This window comes from Homo sapiens, chromosome 19, assembly GCF_000001405.40.
Source record: "Homo sapiens chromosome 19, GRCh38.p14 Primary Assembly".
Taxonomy (NCBI): Eukaryota; Metazoa; Chordata; class Mammalia; order Primates; family Hominidae; genus Homo; species Homo sapiens.
The window spans coordinates 32,424,323-32,449,380 of NC_000019.10; the positions used below are offsets into that span (position 1 = coordinate 32,424,323).

At 39.3% G+C, this 25,058-nt stretch overlaps 1 protein-coding gene across 15 annotated transcripts in view; it reads left to right on the forward strand.

Moving 5' to 3' along the window:
* Nucleotides 1-25,058, forward strand: part of DPY19L3 (dpy-19 like C-mannosyltransferase 3) — an 80,121-nt gene that overhangs the window by 18,553 nt on the left and 36,510 nt on the right. For 13 of the 15 annotated variants that reach the window (XR_007066627.1, XR_007066628.1, NM_001172774.2 and 10 more), the window contains exons 4-8: nt 8,394-8,484; nt 12,124-12,245; nt 12,872-13,017; nt 14,790-14,913; nt 15,454-15,588. Coding sequence is in view for 13 of the 15 variants with exons in the window: in NM_001172774.2 (NP_001166245.1) it covers nt 8,394-8,484; nt 12,124-12,245; nt 12,872-13,017; nt 14,790-14,913; nt 15,454-15,588 (618 nt within the window). In the remaining 2 variants the exon portion in view is untranslated. Of the gene's footprint in view, nt 1-8,393; nt 8,485-12,123; nt 12,246-12,871; nt 13,018-14,789; nt 14,914-15,453; nt 15,589-25,058 lie in introns of those variants that run through there. The other 2 variants (XM_006723045.2, XM_017026367.3) reach the window with 2 other exon arrangements.

Here is a 25,058-nt window from a genome sequence, read left to right on the forward strand (position 1 = left end):
AAAAAAAAAAGAAATAAATAAAAAAAAATGGATGGGAGTATCCTGATTTCTTTCTCTTTTATAACTGGAAGTCAGAAAGTTTGATTTAAAACTGATAAGACACACAAGCCTGGGCAACATGGTGAAAACTTGTCTCTACTAAAAATACAAAAAAAAAAATTAGCCAGGCTTGGTGGCACACAGCTTACACCCAGCTGCTTGAGAGGGTGCAATGGGATGATCACCTGAGCTCAGGAAGCCAAGTCTTCAGTGAGCCAAGATCATGCCGTTGTGCTCCAGCCTGGGCAACAGAGCAAGAACCTGTCTCAAAAACAAAAAAAGGTCTCTGTAGATCTTCAAGTTGACCTACAGAGTCAACATGATCCCTCTCAGAATCCCAGGTGGACTTTTCACAGAAATTGACAAGCTAGTCCTAAAATGTATATGGAAACTCAAGGGACTCAGAATAGCTAAAACAGTTTTGAAAAAGAAGAACAAAGTTGTAAGACTCAAACTTTCTGACTTCAAAACTTACTATACAGCCACAGTAATCAAGACTCTGATGCTGGCATAAGGATAGACATATAAATCAATGGAATAAAATTGGGAATACAGACATAAATCCTTAGATGGTCAAGTGATTTTCAGCAGGGCACCAGGAAGGACAGTTACGTGGAGAAAGAATAGTCTTCAATAAATGGTCTATAAACAAATGGATATTCACATGCAAAAGAATGAAATTAGACCACTGCCTCACACCATACACAAAAATTAACTCAAGATGGATCATAGGCCTAAATGTCTAAAACTATAAAACATTTAGAAGAAAATATGCAAATGAATCTTTTATAACTGTGGAGTAGGCCAAAACTTCATAGAGACCACACTAAAAACACATGATTAAAAATAAATAAATAAATTGGTGTTCATCAAAATTAGACATTTTTGTACTCCAAAGTACACCATCAGACCAGGTGCTGTGGCTCATGCCTGTAATCTCAGCAGTTTGGAGGCCAAGGCAGGCAGATCACTTGAGGTCAGGAGTTCAAGACCAGCCGGGCCAAAATAGTAAAACCCTGTATCTATTAAAAATACAAAAATTAGCCAGGCGTGATGGCACACATCTGTAGTCCCAGCTACTAGGGAGGCTGAGACAGAAGGATCACTTGAACCCGGGAGGCAGAGGTTGCAGTGAGCTGAGATGGCGCCACTGTGCTCCATCGTGGGTAACAGAGCGAGACTCTGTCTCAAAAAAAAAAAAGAAAAAAATTAAGACTCAAAAGTCAAAATTATTCCTTGATCCATGGGCTGTAGAATAGATTTTGTGTTAGCAGGCATGAAAATAACACAGATAACCAGATGCATTATCAATGAGCAGTAGTATTTTGAAAAGAATTTTTTTTTTCTGTGTAGTAGATCTCAACAGTGGGCCTAAAATAGTAAATCGTGCTGTCAACACATGGGCTGTCATCCAGGTTTTGTTGTCCATCTTTAGTGCACAAGCAGAGTAGATTTCACATCATTCTTAATAAGGACCCTAGGATTTTCAGAATGGTAAGTGAACATTGGCTTCAACTTAAAGCCACCAGCTGTATTAGCCCCTAACGAGAGTCAGCCTATGCTCTGAAGCTTTGAAGTCAGGCATTGACTTCTCCTGAGCTGTAAAAGTCCGAGATGGCATCTTCTTCCAATAGAAGGCTGTTTCATCTACATTGAGTATCTGTTGTTTAATGTAGGCACCTTCATCAGGGATCTTAGCTGGATCTTCTGGATGACTTGCTGCAGCTTTTCCATCAGCACTTTCAGCTTCACCTTGCACTTGTATGTTAGGGAGATGGCTACTTCCCCTCAACCTCATGAACCAACCTCTGCTAGCTTCCAGCTTTTCTTCTGCAGCTTCCTCACCTCTCTAGCCTTCACAGAATTGAAGAGAGGGCCTTGCTCTGGATTAGGCGTTGGCTTAAGAGAATGTTTTAGATGATTTGATTTTCCATCAGAGCATTAGACTTTCCCCGTATCAGCAATGAGGCTGTTTTTCATTCTTATCATTGGTGCGTTCACTGGAGTAGCACTTTTAATTTCCTTCCGTAACTTTTCCTTTGTGTTAACAACTTGGCTCTTTGGCACAGGAGGCCTAGTTTTTGGTCTCTCTCAACTTTCGACATGCTTTCCTCACTAACTTATCATCTCTAGCTTTCCATTTAAAGTGAGAGATGTGCCACACTTCCTTTCGACGCTTAGAGGCTATTGTAAAGTTATTAATTCCGATATTATTGTGTCTCAGGGAGCAGAGAGGCCTGGGGAGAGGAAATGAGACAGAAGAATGACAGAGCTGTCAGAACACACACATTTCAGTTCACCGTCTTACATGGGTGTGGTTTATTGTGCCCCAAAACAGTTACAGTAGTATTAATAACATCAAAGATCACTGATCCCAGATCCCGTGACAGGTATAATAATAAAGAAAAATGTGAAATATTGGAAGAATTACTAAAATGTGACAGAGACAAAAAGTGAGCAATAGCTGTTGCAGAAATGGTGTTGATAGTTGTTTGATGCATAGTTGCCACTAAGTTTCAATTTGTAAAAATGCATTATCTGCAAAGGGCGGGAAAGTGAGGCACAGTGAGATGAGGCGTGCCTGAAGTCGTTTCCCTTTGTTTACAATGTGTTCTTTCTTTGGTGTTTCGTTGTTTGTTTGTTTGTTTTTGAGGCAGGATCTTGCTCTGTCTCCCAGTCTGGAGTGCAGAGGTGCGATCTCGGCTCACTGTAGCCTCGACTTCCTGAGCTCAGGTGATTCTCCCACTGCAACCCCTCAAGTAGCTGGAACTACAGGGGCATACCACCATGCCCAGCTAATTTTTTATATTTTTAGTACAGCCTGGGTCTTGCCATGTTGCCTAGGCTGGTCTTAAAGTCCTGGGCTTAAGTAATCCACCTACCTCGGCCTTCTAAAGTGCTGGGGTTATAAGCGTGAGCCACCGCACCCCCGCATTCTTCTTTCTTGTTGGAACATAAACATCTTTCGGTCAAATACTAAATTCTTGCACCTTTTTGTTTCCCCAGCAAATAAATATGCAATGATAAGGAAGGCAGTTCTCCTTTGGCTATAAGCACCAACATCACTCTTTCTTTTTAGTCTTTTTTCCTTGTGCTAACATTTTCCACTGTTATTCTTATTTACTTGATATTGCCGAATTTGCATGTCTTCCCATTGAATACTCCTGCAAAGCAAGGAGACTTTAGAATAGATAGGGGTAATCCACACAATAGTAGTACGGTAGTGCTAAGACTGCTGATTGCCTGAGTGTGGGCCCAGTGGAAGAACTGTCACTTCAGTAGCAGACTGCCCTCCTCACAAGCCCTGCTTGGCACTTCTCACATGCCACGGCTTTAATCAACTCTGGGGCAAGAATCATTCCCCTCTAACAGATGGACATGAATTTAACCAGACAATAAACCATGTATGTGCCATAAATATGTTTGCTGAGGGCATGATTCCCAGTACAGAACTTTAAGAACAGCTGTCTTATGGGCTACTATTTCTTGGTGAGATGATTTGTTAACCTAATTCTGAAACAGATTACATTTATAAAGTTAATTTTTCGGTGGCTTCCCCACTACTAGCAGTCTAATTATTTTGGGGGACAATTTTTGTAAACAAATCTTTTTTTTTTTTTTTTTTTTTGAGACAGAGTTTCACTCCATCACCCAGGCTGGAGTGCAGTGCCGGGATCTCAGCTGACTGCAACTTCCACCTCCCGGATTCAAGCAATTCTCATGCCTCAGCCTCCCAAGTAGCTGGAATTACAGACATGCACCACAATGCCCAGCTAATTTTTGTATTTTTAGTAAAGACGGGGTTTCGCCATGTTGGCCAGGCTCGTCTCAAACTCCTGACCTCAGGTGATCTGCCCACCTCGGCTTCCCAAAGTGTTGGGGTTACAGGTGTGAGCCACCGCGCCTGGCCTGTAAACAGAACTTTTTTACGTGAGTTGTTCTTGTTTTTTTAAACATGAGTTGTTTTGTTTTTTTTAAAAAAAAGCAAGAGGAGAAAGACTTCAGGACCATTGCGATAGATGTAGGGACCACTGCAATGAGGTCTTGCAGTGGTGGAGAGAGATTGTACTCAACTTCTAGTACATCATGGGTGAGTAGGAATAGGCAGCCAAGGAGCGGATTGGGGTCAGTGGCTGGGAAATGAGTAAGAGGAACCACTGGGATGCGGGGGATCCTGGCTCAACCAGGCTTAGAGGGTTCTTGCTAAAGGCAGGCCAGAGTGACCAGACATTATGTGGGGGATCTATTTACGTGAGATTTTTAAAAAGCTAATTTGATGTTTCCTTTCCAAATTTGGTGTCATTTGTCTCAAAGGACTCTAGCCTTTTGGGCATTGCCAGCAACTTGTCTGAGTGCCTGTGGGGAATGTGATCATTTATTGTGAGCAGTCATTTTTTGTGTGTGTGTACATCTATTAAATTGCTATATACACTGTTACTTCAATGGTTTTAGCTGTACAGTTTTTTTTTTGTTTTTTTTCTTGTTGTTGTTGTTTGTTTGTTTTGAGACGGAGTCTCACTCTGTCTCCCAGGCTGGAGTGCAGTGGTGCGATCTCAGCTCACTGCAACCTCTGCCCTCCGAGTTCAAGTGATTCTCCTGCCTCAGCCTCCTGAGTAGCTGGGATTACAGGCGCCTGCCACCGCGCTTGGCTAATTTTTTGTATTTTTAGTAGAGACGGGGTTTCACCATCTTGGCCAGGCTGGTCGTGAACTCCTGACCTCAGGATCCACCCGCCTCAGCCTCCCAAAGTGCTGGGATTACAGGCGTGAGCCACCACACCCGGCCAGCTGTACAGTTCTTTATAAATACAAGTCTTTTGTCTTTCCACTTCTTTCTGTCATTATCTTCGAAGATGTTTTCGTTCTGTCAACATTGCATTCCCCATGGAACCTGTGCAAATTGAATATGAAGTATTTGTTCGTTTTGCATTCTTTAGAGGATAACTACTATTGGTGTATATTTTCACGGGTGTGATCTACCAAGCGAAGTATAAATTGCTGTAAAACTGGAAAAGTGTTTGAATGAGTGAAGCAGATGTTCTCTTAGCATGAAGCAGATGTAAAACTTGCAAGTGTCTGTCTAATAAAGTATAGCATTTGGTTCTGTACAGCTGGTGCTAGATTACCAATTAATCATGTTTGAATGCATTTTTACTAATTAGGTCCCCCTCTGTTCTTTGTGCATTCTGGCTATAATAAAGGGAGAGATGGGACACAAAAGCTTTCTACCTTTAGTACTTTGAGCAGTGTTTTTTCTTATTCCCTGGTCTTTTATTCTTAGAACCATATAATTCACTCTTTCATTCTTTATTGGCTCTCCAGTTTGATTTGGGATGTAGGTGTGACAGGATTTTCACACTCCTCAAGTGCCTTTGAACACTTTAAGGAAGCTAGAGAAAAGAAAAATAATGTAATTAATGTTGTTGTTGTTGTTCTTAATTTGCATGGACAAAAGCTAGTATTTGCTCAGTTAACATCAATTCATAGCCTCTGTGGTTATTTGAATGAGTAGGAGTTTGGACATTCTAGAAACGAGTGATACCAGGTTGGTTTTAAGTTCTCAAAAGCAATAGAGCACGTTTTCTCAAAGATAAAAAATGAGTGGATTAAAGTAACTACCCAGAAGAGTTGCCTTTACTGCTATGAAAGATACAACACAAATCACTAGCAATGAAAGTTTAAAAAGCTGTATCATTATGTAGTAGCCTTTTTATAACGCAAGTGTGTTATTGAAATTAAATTTTAGGCCCAGGCACTGTGGCTTCTGTCTGTAATCCCAGCACTTTGGGAGGCCACGGCAGGAGGATCACTTAAGCTCAGGAGTTCAAGACCAGCCTGGGCAACATGGCAAAACCCTACCTCTACAAAAAATACAGAAATTAGGTGGACATAGTGGCATGTGCCTGTAATCCCAGCTACTTGGAAGCCGAGAGGATCACTTGACCCTGACACGCAAAGGCTACGATGAGCCGTGATCATGCCACCGTACTCAGCCTGGGTGACAGAGTGAGACCCTGTCTCCAAAAAAAAATAAATAAATTTCAGAACCTGATGGGCCTTTTTTTAAATGCTTGATTTCCCCAGGATAAATTGGTTTTCTGTGAAAGGAAGTTCAATATATAAGATTTGCTACCCTACCTCCCATTTTTCTAAAAGGAATTAACAAACAATGATAAAAAGATTTAGAGGGTAGCAGAAATATATTAAATAAATAATTTCTAAGTCTGAAGATAATAGCATGAATGGTTCTTTCTTATTTATTTATTTATTTATTTTTTGAGGCAGGGTCTCGCTCTATCATCCAGGCTGGAGTGGCTTGATCATGGCTCACAGCAGCCTCAGCCTCCCAGTAGGCTGAGTCTCAATCGATCCCCCTTCCTCAACCTCCCCAGTTGCTGGGAGTTCAGGTGCATGCCACTATGCCTGGCTACTTTTTTTTTTTTTTTTTGTAGAGACAGGGTTTTGCCATGTTGCCCAGGCTGGTCTTGAACTCCTGAGCTCAAGCAATCCACCCACTTCAGCCTCCCAAAGTGCATGGCTATAGGCATGAGCCACCGCACCCAGCCTGAGTGGTTCTTTTAATGAGATGTTTATTACCATTTGAAAATTAGTTGGAGTTAGGGGGAAGCAAAATGAGCTAAAAGAAGTTCATCAGCTAGAAAATGAGATGTTCAGTATTTATCACTTTCCCCCATTGGGTTTGTGGAATGTGAATCTGCTATAATATGAAAAAGCATGGCCGGGTGCAGTGGCTCACGCCTGTAATCCCAGCACTTTGGGAGGCCGAGGCAGATGGATCACCTGAGGTCGGGAGTTCAAGACCAGCCTTACCAACATGGAGAAACCCCATCTCTACTAAAAATACCAAATTAGCCGGGCATGGTGCACATGCCTGTAATCCCAGCTACTAGGGAGGCTGAGGCAGGACAATCGCTTGAACCTGGAAGTTGGAGGTTGCAGTGAGCCGAGATCGCACCATTGCACTCCAGCCTGGGCAACGAGTGAAACTCCGTCTCAAAAAAAAAAAACAGATCGAATTATATTTTAGACAGTGTGTTACAGATTTTAGGACATGGTTTGTTTTGTTTTGTTTTTAACACTGGTGTAAAAGAATCTCTAATAACATAGATTATAACTTTTTATTTATTTATACTTTTACAGGTACAGGTTAAGTATCCCTCATCTGAAATACTTGGGGCCAGAAGTGTCTTGGATTTCAGATTTTGGATTATTTGCATATATATAATGAGAAATCTTGGGGATAGGATTCAGGTGTAAAGATGAAATTCATTTATGTTTTATGTATACCTTATGCACATAGCCTGAAGGTGATTTTATACAATATAGTTCATAAAACAAAGTTTGTAGACACTGAACCATCAGAAAACAAAGGTGTCACTATCTCAACCATCCCAGTGGACAGTCTATGGTTATTTGGCATCACCATTGTTCCTGACTCTGAATTTACATGGTGCCTTTATAAGTAATCATTTTGTTATACTTATTCGTACATAAGTACTTAACAATAAAAAATATGACATACCATCAATACGGTGAAAAAAATAACACTTTCAGGGTAACTTGTGTCATCGTGTTGGCTCTCAGAAGGTATCCAATTTTAAAGTATTTCATTTGGATTTCAGCTTTTCAGGTTAGGGCTGCTCAACCTATAAATAAAGTGTATCATCTAACAGTATTAATTGGATTATTCCAGAAAGTCTTCCGTGTCATTGTTGCCCATTGCTTCTGTTTTATAGTAATAATTTAAATTTAATAAAAGTATCTTGTAACTAAATTGGCTAATAGCTATTTAAGTTTTCAGTTCTTCTAGGGTTGAATACTTATCTAAAAGCAGTTTAAATATTTCATGTATCCATTTACCTGCATAAACCTCTTCCCACCAGGGTTACGCTTGTCAGAGTAAAATTCATGTGTCTGCCTTATTTGACTACAAATACCTTTTATTCTTAGAATAAAATGAAAATGATTGATCTTATGTAATATTGGTAGCTTTTAGGTAGGTGTCTAATGCAATTATATTTCTTTTCATTTTTTTTTGTGCCATCCCTGTTTTGTGTCTCACTGCTATTACATAGGAATGGTGATGTATTCTTTAAAATTTTTTTTAAGATTAAACATTCACTAAAGTAGAGAATAGTAGGACAGACTCCCATGTATCCCTCACTCAGCTTTAACAGTGATCAGCCTTCCATTCTTGTTTGCCAAGATTTTTTGAGACTATATTTTCAGAGTTTTTTCTCTTTCAAGTTGCAGTTATGTATCCTTTCTACAGTAACAATATGTATTTAAACAAAACTAGGTCACATAAACCCATAGGATCTAACTCTGTTTTAGGAAGTGGAGCGAGAAATCTCATTCAGAACAGAGTGTGGCCTGTATTACTCCTACTACAAGCAGATGCTGCAGGCTCCAACCCTCGTGCAAGGTAATTACAACTGATAGTTTCATTTGGGGTCTCCTGCATTTTTTTCAATATTTTAGTGAGAAGTACTGTGCACTAAAAACCACTTAAATGCTCTCTAGAACATGTGTATTTTTCCGTGCTAATGTCTAATCATTTCATGAAAATGTTTTTTGCTCTGGAAGAAGTTATGTAATACTTTATATAACCCTCCTCTCTTTGCCTTCCAGCTCTGTTCCATCCCAAAAGTAATATCTTTGCAATTTCATGGTTTTGTTGCTGAATTTTCTCATGATCATTTTGGAGGAGGTCTTTGCAGGTGAAAGGAGTATTGTCTGAGAACAGGAGGCATTTTGGTAACACAAATGAAAATTACAGTTGTGCCTCTTGTCCCCAGTGCTCCATTCATTCCTTTATTTCACAGTTGCCATTTTCCTGCATTTTTACTTCCCCTAAGTGGGTTAGACCCCACACTCTGCCTTTACTCCATCTAATGAAAGCCCCAACATGGATCTCTTCTACCTAGTACATACTTGATCGGCTTAGCATGAGTGCATGTGACAGAAAACTGCTCTTTTATAGGCTTTATTTGGAGTCAGCTTTGACATTTTTGGTGGCAGTTATTCATAAATTATTTTTTTGCTGTTGTTTTTGAGACAGGGTCTCACTCTGTCGTCCAGGCTGGAGTGCAGTGATATGATCATAGCTCGCTGTAGTCTCAATCTCCCAGCCTCAAGCAGTCCTCCTGCCTCAGCCTCTCAAGTAGCTGGGACTATGGGTGTGCACTACCACGTTCATTTTTTGTTTTGTTTTGTTTCTCTGTGGAGACGAAGTCTCACTGTGTTGCCCAGGCTGGTCTCAAACTCCTGAGCTCAAGTGATCCTCCTGCCTCAGCCTCCCAGTGTGTTGGAATTATAGGCATGAGCCACCGCGCCCAGCCCATAAGTGATGTTTTTTACTTGTAGTTTTATCACCTAGGAGACATGACATTTTGGTTATCTTTGGTTTTGTGCCATAAAAATTAATGAGTTGGTCCCTGTGATGATAGCCAGATTCATCCATAATAAGGGTAATTAATCACCAGCCCTTCGCTTAGTGGTTTTAGCAGCCATTGATGATTATCGTCTGTAGTTCTTATTTCAGAGGGGATGCAAATTAGTGACCTTCTAATTCTGTCATTCCTCCTTATTTATTAGTTGGAACTATGTTATATAGAAAACCTTCTCGTTAATTGTTTGGCTACCTTGCAGTACAGTTTATACAAGAAAAGCAGGCTTAGTATTCATTTTTTCCCCATACAATCAAACCTTGTTATTCACAGATTCCATAGTTGCAAAATCTTTTACTTCCTAAAATGTACTTATAACCCTAAAATCAGCATTAATAGTACTTTCACAGTCATTCATGGACACGTCCAGAGCAACAGAATACTTTAGCCTCTGGCATGCGTGTTTCCCACAGAGACTGAATGAGGCGACACTCTGCCTCCTTGTCTCGGCTCTCACACTGCAGTGTCCTTTTCAGAAAGTCTGTTTTATGCCATGTCCTTTGCATTGTTTTGCTGTTTGTTGAAGTTTAAAATGATCCTCTGAGCCTGGGCGCAGTGGCTCACTCCTGTAGTCCCAGCACTTTGGGAGGCCGAGGCGGATGGATCACCTGAGGTCGGGAGTTCGAGACCAGCTTGACCAACATGGAGAAACCCCATCTCTACTAAAAATACAAAAAAATTAGCCGGGCGTAGTGGCGCATGCCTGTAATTCCAGCTACTCCGGAGGCTGAGGCAGGAGAATCGCTTAAACCTGGGAGGTGGAGGTTGCGGTGAGCCGAGATCACGCTACTGCACTCCAGCCTGGGCGACAGAGCGAGACTCCGTCTCAAAATAGAAAAGTAAAAAAATTAACTAATTAATTAAAACACGACAGACTCTTAAATGGCAGAAATTTATTTTCTCACAATTCAGGAGGCTGGAAGTCTGAGGTTAGGGAGCCACATGGTCAGGTTCTAGGGAGGGCTCTCTTCCTGGCTTGCAGACAGCCACCTTCTTGCTGTGTCCTTACATGGCAGAAAGAGAAGAGCGAGTTCTCTGGTGTCTCTTCTTGTAAGGCCACTAATCCCATCATGAGGGCCCATAACTGTCCAACTCTTAGGTTGGAGAGTTATCCATCCATAACACTCCTGTGTTAGACTTTAGGCTTGCCATAATGTAATACCACAGACTGCGTGGCTTAAACAACAGAGATTTTTCTCTCCCTTTTGGAGGCTAGAAGTCCAAGATCCACCTGCTGTTAGGATTGGTTTCTATTGAGGCCTCTCTTCCTGGCTTTGTAGATGCCCTTTTGTTGCTGTGTCCTCACATAGCCTTTCCCTCTGTGCAAATGCAGAGAGAGCACAAGGGCAAGCTCTTGTCTGTTCCTCTTATAAGAACACCAGTCCTATCAGATTAAGACCCCACCCATGTGACCTCACTTACCCTTTATTACCTCCTGTAGGCCCTGTCTCCAAGAACAGTCATATTAGGGCTTCGGGCTTCAGCATACAAATTTGTGGGGGACACATTTCAGTCCACAGCACCTCCTATTGAGGAACATCTGGGTTGTTTTGGATCAATCTTTTGCTGGTACAAATGGTGCTGCATGAGTGACCTTGTGCCAATGTCATTTTGTATTTTTGCCAGCCTTTGTGTGGGATTGATTCCTAGACATGGGCTTTCTAGGTCAAAGGGTAAATTCATATGTGATTTTGCTGGATACTGCAAAATTCCTCTCCATAGAGATGACACCATTTTGTATTCCCAACTGTAGTATATAGGAGTCTACTTTTTTATAATCTCACAGAGTGTATTGTAAAACTTTTTTTGCCAAGGCAGTAGGTGAGAACTAGCATCCCTCAGGGTAGTTTTAATTTGCACTGTTTTAATAGGAGCAAGGTTGAGGATCTTCTCCTGTGTGGAAGGACTGTGTGCATGTTTTCTTCTGTGAACTATCCATTCATGCCTTGGATTAATTAGCCTGGTTACAGTGACAGAGGACCTCTGTGGCTGTGGATCTCTGTAACAGCAGGTCAAGTTCTCCTTCATCCTTCTCATGACATGTCTGCTGTGAGGGAGCTGCAGCTCTGGTCTGCCCCCAACATCTGCGCATTCAAGCCCTATTTGGAATGTGCCAGTGTCATGGCAGAGGGCAAGAGCAAGAGCTGGTAGAAACATGCCTTGTCTTCTAAAGCCTCTGCTCAGCTATGGCTTACATCCACTTACATGCCACTGGTTAGAGCACATGGCCAAAGCCGTTCTGGGGAGTGGAGAAGGAAGGCCATGTATACTCTCCCAAAGGAGATACTGCAGGTTGCATGGCAGGAGGGCAGGGTGGAGAAATGTGAAATCCTCTTGCCCACATTTCTAGAGAAGGACCTTGTGGTGGTGGTGGTGGTGGTTTCATTCCAGTTACAAAAGTTTTAATTTACCTATGTTTGTGTAAATGTTTAAATGATGTCCATCGAATATGTGGTAAGCTCTTTGAGGGCAGGAGTATGTTTTTTTTGCTTACTCTTATATCCCCAATGCCTACCACAGTCTCTAGCACTTACTAAACAATCTGTGCATAGTTTTGAATGAATGAATAATTATGAGTGTAATTATTTTCTTCCTGACTTTTCACATATCTATAGGTTTTCATGGCCTAATATATGATAATAAAACTGAATCTATGAAGACAATTAACCTCCTTCAGCGAATGAATATTTACCAAGAGGTTTTTCTCAGTATTTTATATAGAGTTCTACCCATACAGGTATGTTTTGTGATATTGAATTATTAATATCAGATGAAAGTCAAAGTCTGCCATTTTGAACTGAAAGTTATCACATCGTTCTTTCTGATCTTCAACTGGTTTAGTAGAAAATCAGCAATACTATATTTTTTTTCCATGTATATTATGAACTTTATAAGATACTGCTTTTTATTTACATAGGATATAAGGTTTTTGTACACAGATGCTTCCTGGCTTATGTATGTATGCGGTCTAGAAGCTAATAAATATTTTCATTTGCTCTCTGTAATCAGGAGTGATTACACATTCACTCCTGATGGATCTTTGAGAGAAAAAATTTGTAAAGTCAGCAAATCACAATGACCACTTCTCATGTGAATGACGTATCATCAGACAAAGTTAGGTATAAAACTTTCTAGAGTAAAGAGTGAAGCCAGACCTGTCACGGACTTCCTTCCCCTGTCTCTTCTCGGTGGTGGGAAGAAAGGCTACCCGAACGCTTCTCTAATAGATGAAAGGGGTGTGGGCTTGCTGCTTGGAATTAGAGGCAAGCTCCTGCATATTGTATTCCTACTGTCATGTTTTAAATGGCACTGAGGAGGGTTAGGGCTCACCTGACAAACATGTTTTATTGTTCCCTTTTACAGAAATATTTAGAGCCAGTTTATTTTTATATTTACACCTTATTTGGGCTCCAGGCGATCTATGTCACAGCTCTCTACATAACCAGCTGGCTACTCAGTGGTACATGGCTGTCAGGACTGTTGGCAGCTTTCTGGTATGTCACAAATAGGTGAGTTGGAGTCAGTATGCTTCTTTTTTTTCCAAAATGTAAGTAAAAATGAAGTCACTTCATTTCCAGCTCAGAGAAATTTCTTCTGCCACATTTGTTTGGTTGGGAGCAGTTTCTCTTTGGTTTGCCTGGTGGTTTACTCAATTTTTCTTATTTAGTTAGGGAGAAAGTGCTACTTACATGTAATTCCAGCTGAGGAACAGAGAGCATTGAATTGCATATCAAGAAAATCATTCATAATAATCCCAAACCTATTATCTGTTTGCTGGGTGATCAAGATTTCTCCAGCCGCATATCTCATCTCTTAAAGGGTTTTTTTAAATTGGCAAATAATAATTATACATATTCATGGGCTACATAGTGATATTTCAATACATATAGAATGTATAGTGATCAGATCAAGGTAATTAACGTATCAGTCATTAAAAAGTTTTTTGGGTTTTTTTCTTGCTGTTTTTTAAAGCCAATGAAGACTTTTAAAATTTTTATTTATTTAGGGGTTGTTTTTGTTTTTTGTAGAGACAGGATCTCCCTATGTTGCCCAGGCTGGTCTTGAACTCCTGGCTTCAAGCAGTCCTCCCACCTTGGCCTCCCAAAGTATCAAGATTACAGGCATGAGCTACTGTGCCTTGCCTAAAAAGTTTTAATTATATCTTCACTATCAACCTTAATAGGGTTGTGTATGGCTCTCAGTTAGTAGAGCTTAAAGATAAAATGCAAGGGCGTTTTTGCCTTATTTAATATCTACTATTATAAGCAGTAGAGCCTTATGAAATCACATTTTAAAAAAATGTATTCAAGATCATTAAATTATTGCCTGTCCTATAATGGCAATACCAGTATTCAATAGGAGTCTTAAAACTTGAACATGAGTTCTAATACAGGTTTTATTTTGTAAGTCTAAGCAAATTACGTGTTATGACAGTCCTGTTGGGGGTTTACTGTATGCCAAGCACTTTACAATATGTGTTATATGGGTTCTTAGAAGAACCCTATAGAGTAGATATTATTATTATCCCCATTTTAGAAATGATAAAATTGAGGCTTTAAAGGTTACATTTTGTATATAGATACAGATATTACAGACATCTATATATATTTCTTTTATATAGAGATATATGTAGATATAGATACATTGTTTGATACATTGTTTCATATATATCTCTATCTTTTATAGAGAGATATATGTAGATATAGGTACCTTGTTTGAGATGTAGATACACACACGTATATTATGTGTTACATAAGTGTATCATTTATTGAATGCCTAGTATGTGTGGGGATGGTGTACAAAGATGAAAAATTTTACCCATACTTGCCCTGTTGGGATTCACATTCTAGAGAGGCAGGAAGTTTTTTTAAAAAATACTGTCAATGACATATTTAAGACTCAAGTATAAAAAACACCAAAGAAATACAGAGAGAGGGAAAATGTGTATTGCCTCTTGACACTAATAAAGTGAGGGAGAAATGAAAGTAAGGGTTTGGCATGATACATTTGTGAGTTTAGGAGTAAGGCTAACCTGGGCTTGAACCCTAGGTGCTAAGGGCATACCCATGGACAGAGCACTTAAATGTTCTCTATGCCAATTTTATGTTACAGGGATGATGATGATGATGATGATGATGATGATAAGGACAATTATTGAGAACCAGTGGCCAGAATCTTAAGTATACTTGTCCTTAATGTAATATATCTTTCGTTGAGGAAGTCTTCGAGGAAATTATTGTAAAAACTATCACTTTGGCCATTTGTGTTTTCTTTTGTGCAGAATAGATACCACAAGAGTTGAGTTTACCATCCCACTGAGGGAGAACTGGGCGCTGCCATTCTTTGCAATTCAGATAGCAGCAATTACATATTTCCTGAGACCAAACTTACAGCCTCTTTCTGAAGTAAGTGTTTATAAAATTTCATATATTTTAATCCCCCAATTTTATATATGAAGCTTCAAAAAATGTGATGTGCTTAGTATCCCAATGCATGTGAATAGTTCTTATTCCATGACCAATTTTTAAACTTGAGTTAAATTAAGTTTTCTTTTCGTGAGCTTTTTTCTACTTTGCAAAGAAAATGTTTTCATTTTTGATGTTAAAAATGTACTCTACATAATCTACCCTTAAATAGTTGCAGCAAACCCACACACAATTTCTGCAAACTGTCAGAATTTTTAAGCCCTTGCTCTTGAGATGTGATTTGGTGCATTATCGCCTCCATAATAGTGTGGAATACACACACCGTATGTGAATATTTATATGCAAAGTGTCACTTTATGATAGTTAGAGCTTAAATAACAAATGCAAGGGTTTTCAGAGCAACAGTTTATGGTTTTTCTGTTTGGTTTATAGAGATACTGGCTGCTCTTGAGAAAACTTGTCTGCAAGGTTTTTTATTACTAGAGACATGTAAATTATACAAAGGTTTTCTTTTTACAGAGGCTGACACTTCTTGCCATTTTCATATCAACTTTTCTCTTTAGTCTGACATGGCAATTTAATCAATTTATGATGCTGATGCAAGCATTAGTGCTGTTCACACTGGACTCCCTGGACATGCTGCCAGCAGTGAAGGTGAGCTTTGCTTTCTTTTCTCACTTGAGATTTTGGCCATTTAGTGTTTTTATATCATAGAATGAGATGAAAATATGCAAGTACTTATGGATAAAATTGAAGCTGTTTCTTAGATCTGCTGTAAATTTGCTGTGGCCAATTGAAGCTGAGTAATTTATGAAGCCTAGTTTGACCATCTTAACTTTTATTCGCTTATTTTAAGTTAAAAAATGGAATGGATTTTATTTTGGGGCATAAATGCCTAGGTCAATTGTTATTTATAGAGATGACTTAAATTTTAAAATATAAGATAGCTCTTTTAAAATGTCTTACTGTGTACTGCCACTTTTAAAAAAGAAATCAATAGGTATATAACAGCTTTTTTGTAGTACTTTATAAAATTTTCATAGTCACATTTAACTAATATGGGATGTGAATCCCTGTTGACTGGCTGAAAGTCACATGTGAAATAAAGAAACCAGTATCTGTCTCCTAATGTCTGCTGCTGTCATTTAATCACATTTTTTCATGTGCAAAAATATGATTTTATGTATTGCGTACAGTTTTAAAATGGCTTATAGTTAGTATTCTAAAGTAGTAGTAACTTAAATATTTCCCAAGTATAATAAAATACTTTCTCCATATCTAAGGCAGCAGCATAGCCCAAGGATTTGTGCTCATTTATTCCATATCAAAGGAGATCCAGTAAGCTTCCATAACTGACTGAGTCTGAATTAAGAAACATAAAAGTCTACCAAGAAATACACATTGCCTGTCTACTGAGACACTGTAATAGAATGGGCACTACAGAAAATGCCAATATGTGTAATTCATTGTCATAGCCACAGTTTGCCTTTTAGCTTGGGAAACAAAGATCACAGACAACAAGAACAAGCAGACAAATGATAGCTGCTAATTAGCAATACTGATATATCTAAAAGAAGAAAAGTTATTTTTAGGCAGAGAAGTGTTTACAGAAGTAAGAAGCTAGAACTGGACCACCTAGATCACAAGTGAGGGTAGAATTTGGGTGGGATGTCAGGGGTGGGGGCAGAATAGGAAGGTGGAATGCAGCAAGAGCAAGTAGATAGGACTAAGTTTATATATGTATATGAAATGTTTAGTGTTTCTGCAGGTGTGCCAGTGACCACTCCTACACTGCTGGTAACCTATACACTCCTATAATCTTTCTTTAGTGTAGTTTCACAGTAGGTATCAAAAGCCTAAAAATGTATTTGCCTTTTCACCAACATTTCTACCCCTATAAGTTTGTCCTAAGTAAATAATCTGCCATGTTCATTTTAGTTGTATTGTAATAAGAAAAAGCTGGGCGGAAAAGATAAAAAGAAATAAAAAACTGGAAATGACTTGAGCCAATAGCAATAGGGTATACTTAAATAAATGATGGCATATCTATGCAATCAAATATTATATAACCATTAGTTCCCCCATATTTTTTTGAAAAAGCGAAACATAGAGAAAATGAGTAAAGGTTCTGGAAAAATACACAGTAAAGTATCAACAGTCAGCTACACGATTGATGTTCTGCATATTCTTTTTGTTCTTTAGATCTTTTGATTTTTTCTGATAATGAACATGTGTCTCTTTTTTTTTTTTTTTTTCTTTGAGATGGAGTCTCACTCTGTCTCCCAGGCTGGAGTGCAGTGGCGCGATCTTGGCTCACTACAACCTCCACCTCCTGAGTTTAAGCAATTCTCCTGCCTCAGCCTCCCAAGTAGCTGGGAATACAGGTGCATGCCACCACACCCGGCTAATATTTGTATTTTTAGTAGAGACAGGGTTTTGCCATATTGCCCAGGCTGGTCTTGAACTCCTGACCTCAAGGGATCCACCTGCCTTGGCCTCCCAAAGTGCTGGGATTATAGGTGTGAGCCACTGTGCCCATCTGAACATGTATCTCTTTTAAAATTAGAAAGCAAAGGTACTGTTTTGGCTCACATACACAACATTTTAAAATAATATAGCTAATTGATTTTTTATTTAGTTCTAAACTTTGTTCAACTTTTACATTTGAAACTGTGTTGGTATTAGAAGTAGTTTTAAGTATCAGACTTTAAGGAGGAACATTATTACAATGAAAGGATCCTGAGTTATAAAACTAAATTGCTGCTGTCAGGTCTGAAAATAACTGGCTCTTTCAGCTTAGGCAAGTGATTTAACTTAGTTTCTTCATAAATTAGAATCACTTCTCTCTAACCATGTCAAATGGGAAAGAGTCAGAATAATTGGTATAGAAAAAGGTAATACAAATTCAGAGCTCAGTGTGGTGACAAGAAGCAGTACCTTCTACAGTACATTTTGTCATCTTTTCATGAATGATGAAACTCTTACCAGCAAAACCTCAAGTTTCCAGTCAGAAATGTGAACAGAGTAAAACAGAACAGCAAGCATATTATAAAGTGTATACTTTTGCTTAATTAAAGGCTAAAATATGGAGGTTAATAAAGTTTTCTTAATCTATTGTGGAAACAGACGCATTCATGATAAATGCTTAAGAGATCATGTTAAGTACCCTACATGGTTCCAGACAAGAGGGAGTAGAGACATTTCTCCCCGTTCCTCCCCAAAGTACATTGAAAAACCTTAGACAGTATATGTATATAACAAACATAAGAGGAATTTGAGAGGTAGAGAGAAGCAGACTGCCTAGGGACCTTGCGACCAGAGGGAAAATTTGACAGCGAGTTTCTTGGGTTTTCTTTTTGCCCCATATATCCTTGACTGGGTGCTGGAGAAGTCAGAAACCTGGGAATAACAATGGACTCAAACAAAAAGCCTCCTCCCTCTAGCAAAAGGACCAGAAGAGAGGAAGCCTAACAAGACAGAAAACTTTCAAACATTAACTGCCTTATTCTAGCGAAATGCTACAGAAGCAAAACCACAGCTCCACTCCCACCTCCATCAGTAAAGTTCAGTGGGAAGCCTAGATTCCTACCCTCACCTAGCTGTCACTAGGCATGCCTTGCTTCCTGCCAGAGCTATGTCAGAGAAGTCTAGTGGGGAACCAGAACTTTCACCATCTCCCAGAGACATCTGTGAAGGCCACTTGGGAAACTTGGACTTCAACTCTCACTCAGTGGTAATGAGACATCCTGTCCCCTCTCTATCAGGATGGTGTCAGAGAAGGTCAACAGGGAGGTTGAGACTCTAACCACCACCCAGATGTAATAAGCCTTTCTCTACTGCCCTACCCCATGCTGTCGGTGCAGGCCATGTAGGGAGCAGTGGTGACGCACCTCTGTTTCTCCCAGCCAGCATGTGTCAGCAGGGACCTGTAGAGAGCCTGAACTTTCGCCTTCACCCAGCAATAAGGAAGTACACCTTCTGCTGACCCCCAGATGTCAGTGGAGGGCAAGTGGGCACCTTGGACTTCCATTTCCGTCTGAAAGTACTGAGGCAGCACCCTTCTTTCCCCATTAGCATAGCGTTGGCATAGTTTGAATGTTTTTGTGGTCCCCCACCAAATTTATATGTTGAAACCCAAATCCCCAAGGTGATTGTATTAGGAGGTAGGTAGGGCCTTTTAGAAGGTGATTAGTGCCATTATAAAACAGGCACAAGGGAGCTGTTTCACCCCTTTCACCATGTGAGGAGGACACAGCAAGAAAGTGCCATCAGTGAACCAGGAAATAAGCCCTCACCAGCCACTGAATCTGCCAGTTCCTTGATCTTGGACTTGCCAGCCTCCGGAACTATGAGAAGTAACTTTTTTGTTGTTTATAAGCTACCCAGATTACGGTATTTTGTTAGATAACAGCCTAAATGGACCAAGACACATGGTGTCACAGGAGGCCTGCTAACATGGCAGATTTAAATAAGATCCAGGGTCCCATAATGTAATAGGATACAGTTAAAAATCACTTCTTAGGCCGAGCGCAGTGGCTCATGCCTGTAATCTCAGCCCTTTGGGAGGCCAAGGCAGGCAGATATTTGAAGTCAGTTTGAGATCAGCCCGGGCAACATGGTGAAACCCCGTCACTACTAAAAATACAAAAATTAACTGGCTGTGGTGGCATGTGCCTGTAATCACAGCTATTCAGGAGGCTGAGGCAGGAGAATAGCTTGAGCGAGCCAAGATGGGGCCACTGCATTCCAGCCTGGGCAACGGAGCAAGACTCTGTCTCAAAAAAAAAAAAAAGAAAAAAAAATTCTTATATTAAGAATTAGGAAAATCTCTCTTGAGTGAAAAGAGACAATCAATAGATGCTAACACTGAGATACACAGAAATTGGAATTATCTTACAAGGAATTTAAGGCAGCCATCATAAAAAAAAAGCTTCATTGAGCAATTACGAACACACTTGAAACAAATGAAAATACAAACTCTAAGCAAAGAAGTAGAAGATACAAAGAAGAAGCAAGTGGAAATTTTAGAACAGAAAAATTCCAGTAATCGAAGTTTAAAACTCAGTGGATGGACTCAACAGCAAAATGAAGTAGTCAGAGGAAAGAATCAGTGAACTTGAAGATAGAACAATTTAGAAATTACCTAATCTGAACAACAAGAAAAAATAGAATGAAACAAAAATGAACAGAGCCTCAAGGACCTGTGAGACTATAATGAAAAGTCTAACATTCAGGTAATCAGAATCCCAGAAGAAGACAAGAAAAGAGTTTACTGAAGCTGAAAAAAGTATGCAAAGAAATACTTTCGGAAAAAATAGTTGAAATTTCCTCAAATTTGGCAAAAGCTATAAACCTTCAGAATCAGCAAGCTGAACTAATATCAAACAGGATAAATCCAAATAGAGCCACACTAAGACACATTATAATCAAACTTTTGGAGACTAAAGATAAATTTTAAAAAATTGAAAGTAGTCAGAAAAATACTGTACCTATAGGGGAAAACCAATTTAAATGACAGTGAATTCCTCATCAAAATCAAGGAGGGGCTGGGCACAGTGACTCACGCCTGTAATCCCAGCACTTTTGGAGGCTGAGGCTGGTGGATTGCTTGAGCCCAGGAGTTTGAGACCAGCCTGGGCAACATGATGCAACCCCATCTCTATAAATAATAATAATAATAAAATGATTAGCCAGGCATGGTAGCAACGTGCCTGAGGTCTCAGATACTTGGGAGGCTGAAGTGGGAGAAATTGAGGCTTCAGTGAACTGTAATTGCACCACTGCATTCTAACCTGGGCAACAGAGCAAGACCCAGTCTCAAAAAAAAAAAAAAAAACAAAAAACAATGGAGGCCAAAAGGAAGTGGCCTAGTATTTTCAGATGCAGAAAAAAAGAACTGTCAAGGCTGGGTGCAGTGGCTCACGCCTGTAATCCCATTACTTTGGGAGGCCGAGGCAGACGGATCATGGGGTCAGGAGATAGAGACCATCCTGGCTAACATGGTGAAACCCTGTCTCTACTAAAAATACAAAAAATTAGCCAGGCATGGTGGCAGGCGCTTGTAGTCCCAGCTACTTGGTAGGCTGAGGCAGGAAAATGGCGTGAACCTGGGAGGCGGAGCTTGCAGTGAGTCTAGATCGCGCCACTGCACTCCAGTCTGGGGGACAGAGCGAGACTTCATCTCAAAAAAAAAAAAAAAAAAAAACCATCAACCTACACTCCTATACCTAGTTAAAATGTCCTTCAGGAATGAAAGGGAAATCAAAACATTCTCAATTAAGGAAACTAATATTGCCAGCAGTCCTACCGTAAGAGAATAGCTAAAGGAAGTTGTTGAAACAGAAAGGAAATGATAAGGAATTTAAGAGCATCAGAAAGGAAGACAAGGCAATGAAAAAAGTAAAAATGTGAATAAATATAACAGACTTTTCTTATTCTCTTGAGTTTCTAAATTACGTTTGAGGCTGGGCGTCGTGGCTCACACCTGTAATCCCAGCACTTTGGGAGGACGAGGTGGGTGGATCACCTGAGGTTAGGAGTTCGAGACCAGCCTGGCCAACATGGCGAAACCCCATCTCTACTACAAATACAAAAATTAGCCAGGTGTGATGATGGGTGCCTGTAATCCCAGCTACTCAGGAGGCTGAGGCTGGAGAATTGCTTTGAACCTAGGAGGCGGAGGTTGCAGTGAGCCGAGATTGTGCCATTGCACTCCAGCCTGGGAGACGAGTGAAACTTCGTCTCAAAAAAAAAAAATTATATTTGATAGCTGAAGCAAAAATTATAACACTGTCTTATGTGGTTCTCTATATGTAAAAGAAATACTTTAACAATATAAATGGGAAGGGTAATGAGACTTAAATGGAGGTTAGGGTTCTATGCCTCACTCAAACAGTTAAAATGTCTATACCACTAGTCCGTAATAAGTTATTAATGCATAATGTAATAGCCAGAATAACCACTTTAAAAAACTATACGAAGCAGTACATGAAAAAACAGTACAGATAAATAAAAATGAAATTGTAAAAATGTTCAGGTAACCTACAGGAAGGCAGGAAGAAGGAAGCAGGAATTAGAAGCAAGCAAACAAAAAAGAATAAAAGAGCAGATTTAAGACTAAAATAGCAATAATTACATTAAAGGTAAATGATCTAAATATACTAATTAAAGAGATGGCAGGGTGGATTTAAAAAGCATGACCCAGCTGTTGTCTAAAACACACTTCAAACACAACAATATAGATAAATTGAAAGTAAGAGGATGGAAAAAGATACAACATGCAAGTATCAATCAAAAGAAAGGAGTAGCTATGTTAATATCAGAGAAAGTAGATATCAGAGCAAAGAAAATTACTAGGGACAGAACAGAACATTATATAATGATAAAACGTTCAATGTACCAAGAAGAAATAGCAATCCTAAGTGTACCTGCACCAAACAACAGTACTGCAACGTGTGTGGGGCAAAAACTGACAGAACTGAAAGGAGAAATAGAAAAATTCACAATCGCAGTTTGAGACTTCAGCACATCTCTCTGGACAATTGATAGAACACCAGACAGAAAATCATCAGAGATATAGAACCCAACAACACCTTCAACCGACAGAATCTAATGATCATTTATAGAAACTCCACCCAGTAACAGCAGAATACTCATTCTTTTCAAGCATTCACAGAATACTTACCAACAGACTATCTCCCGAGCCATAAAACAACGACAAACATAAAAGAATTAGGATTATAGAGAATATAATCTCTGACTGCAATGGATTCAAATTTGAAATCAATACAGAAAGATAACAGGAAATGTTTCAATACTTGGGAATTAAGCTCACTATTACATCTATAGTAGTAATAGCCAGAATAACCACTTTAAAAATATATAAAGATATACACTAAAAAAGAGTCTAAGAGGAACCTCGGAGAGCATTGAACTCAATGAAAATGAAAGTGAAGCATGTTTAAATTTGTGGGACACATCCAAAGCAGTATTAAGAAGAAAATGTGTAGCACTAAAAAGCTTATATTAGAAAAGACAGAAAGTCTGAAATCGGTCATCCAAGCTCTCACCTTAAAAAAGGGAGCAAAATAAATTCAAGCCAGGAGAAGAAAATAATAAAGAGCAGAAATCAATGCTATTGAAAACATGAATAATAGAATTAATTAAAAAGAGCTAGCTTGGTCGGGCACGGTGGCTCTGCCTATAATCCCAGCACTTTGGGAGGCTGAGGCAGGTGGATCACCTGAGGTCAGGAGTTTGAGACCAGTCTGGGCAACATGGTGAAACCCTGTCTCTACTAAAAATAGAAAAATTAGCTGACCGTGGTGGTGGGTACCTGTAATCCCAGCTACTTGGGAGGCTGAGCAGGAGAATCACTTGAATCCAGTAGGCGAAGGTTGCAGTGAGCTGAGACTGCACCATTGCACCCCAGCCTGGGCAATGAGAGCGAAACTCCGTCTCATTCATAGATAGATAGATAGATAGATAGATAGATAGATAGATAGATAGATAGATAGATAGATTAGATAAGATACTCCATCTCATTCATAGATAGATAGATTAGATAGATAGATAGATAGATAGATAGATAGATAGATAGATAGAGCTGGCTCTTTGAAAGATTAGTAAAATTGCGAACCTTCTCCATAATTACCTTGGAACATTAAAAACTTTTCAATCTTAACAGACTTTGAAAGTTCTGATCTCAGGAAGAGTGGGAGGTGGGTGGGTGTTGAGTGCTTAATGGATATAATTCACATTGAGTGATAGATACACGAAAAGCCCAGACTTCATCAGTATATGTTATGTACGTGTAACGAAACCGTACTTATATCCCTTAAATTTACACAAATAAAATGTGTAAAACAAAGTTTTGAGCCTCTGTGGTACTATTTACGTGGTAGCCAATATTGCATAGTGGTTAAGAACACAGACTCTACAACTAGGCTGCCTAAGTTTGAATGAGTCATATGTGGGTCGTATGGAACAATGCTTGCTATTTTATTAATGTTAAACAGATATTAACTGTGGTTATTATGAATGGTGATGAGGAGCATGGACACGATCCATTGAAGACAGCTGTAGTTATTCTACACAGAAAGGATATACAGTTGACCCTTAAACAACACAGGGGCTACTGGTGCCGATGTCTCCCCCCAGCAGTTGAAAATCTGCACACAATTTTTGACTCCCCAAAAACTCAATCGCTAGTAGCCTACTGTTGACCAGAAGCCTTACCAATAACATAGTTGATTAACAGATATTTTGTATGTGATGCATTATATACTATATTCTTATTATAAAGTAAGCTAGAGAAAGGGAAATGTTAATTAAATCCAAAGGAAGAGAAAATATACTTACTGTTTATTAAGTGGAAGTGGATCATCACAAAGGTCTTCATCCTCATCTTCACATTGAGTAGGCCAAGGACGAGGTACAGGAGGGGTTAGTCTTACTGTCTCGGGAGTAGCAGAGGCAGAAGAAAATCTATGTATAATTGGACTTGTGTTGTTTAGGGGTCAACTATATTCTTGCTGCCTTGTTTCTATACTGTACTGTACTAATAGAACTGGGAAAGAATATCCAGTACACCGCTGATAATCCAGGACTTCCTAATACACAGTACTGCTCAATTTTACATTTTTGGCTGTTCATCAGCAATTTTTCTTTTGAATGTATATAAAACTATACAATCTTGTTGTTACACAAACTGCCCCTTTTTCTAGAAATACTCTCACTTGATATAAAAAGAACTGTAAACATCAAAAAACACCCACAAATAAAGGCAACCAGAAAGATGTTTTTGGAAAAAAAGCATTTGTAAATGAGTTAGTATCCTTAAGAGTTCCTGCAAATCCATGAGAAAACCATTTATAAACCAATGAGAAAAGGGAACAAAGGATACAAACACTTCCTAGAAAGAAGAGCATCAAAAAGGGTCAAATGCATAGGTACAAATGTAACACAAAGTGACAATTTACGCTTTACAAAACACCACAAAGCATTGTTGAAAGTTTTAAACGCCTAGATTGGAAAGATAATTCACGTTCTTGGATTGGAATACTTACTGTTGTTAAGATGGCAGTGCCCCCCAAATTGATCTACAGATTCAACACATTCCCTCT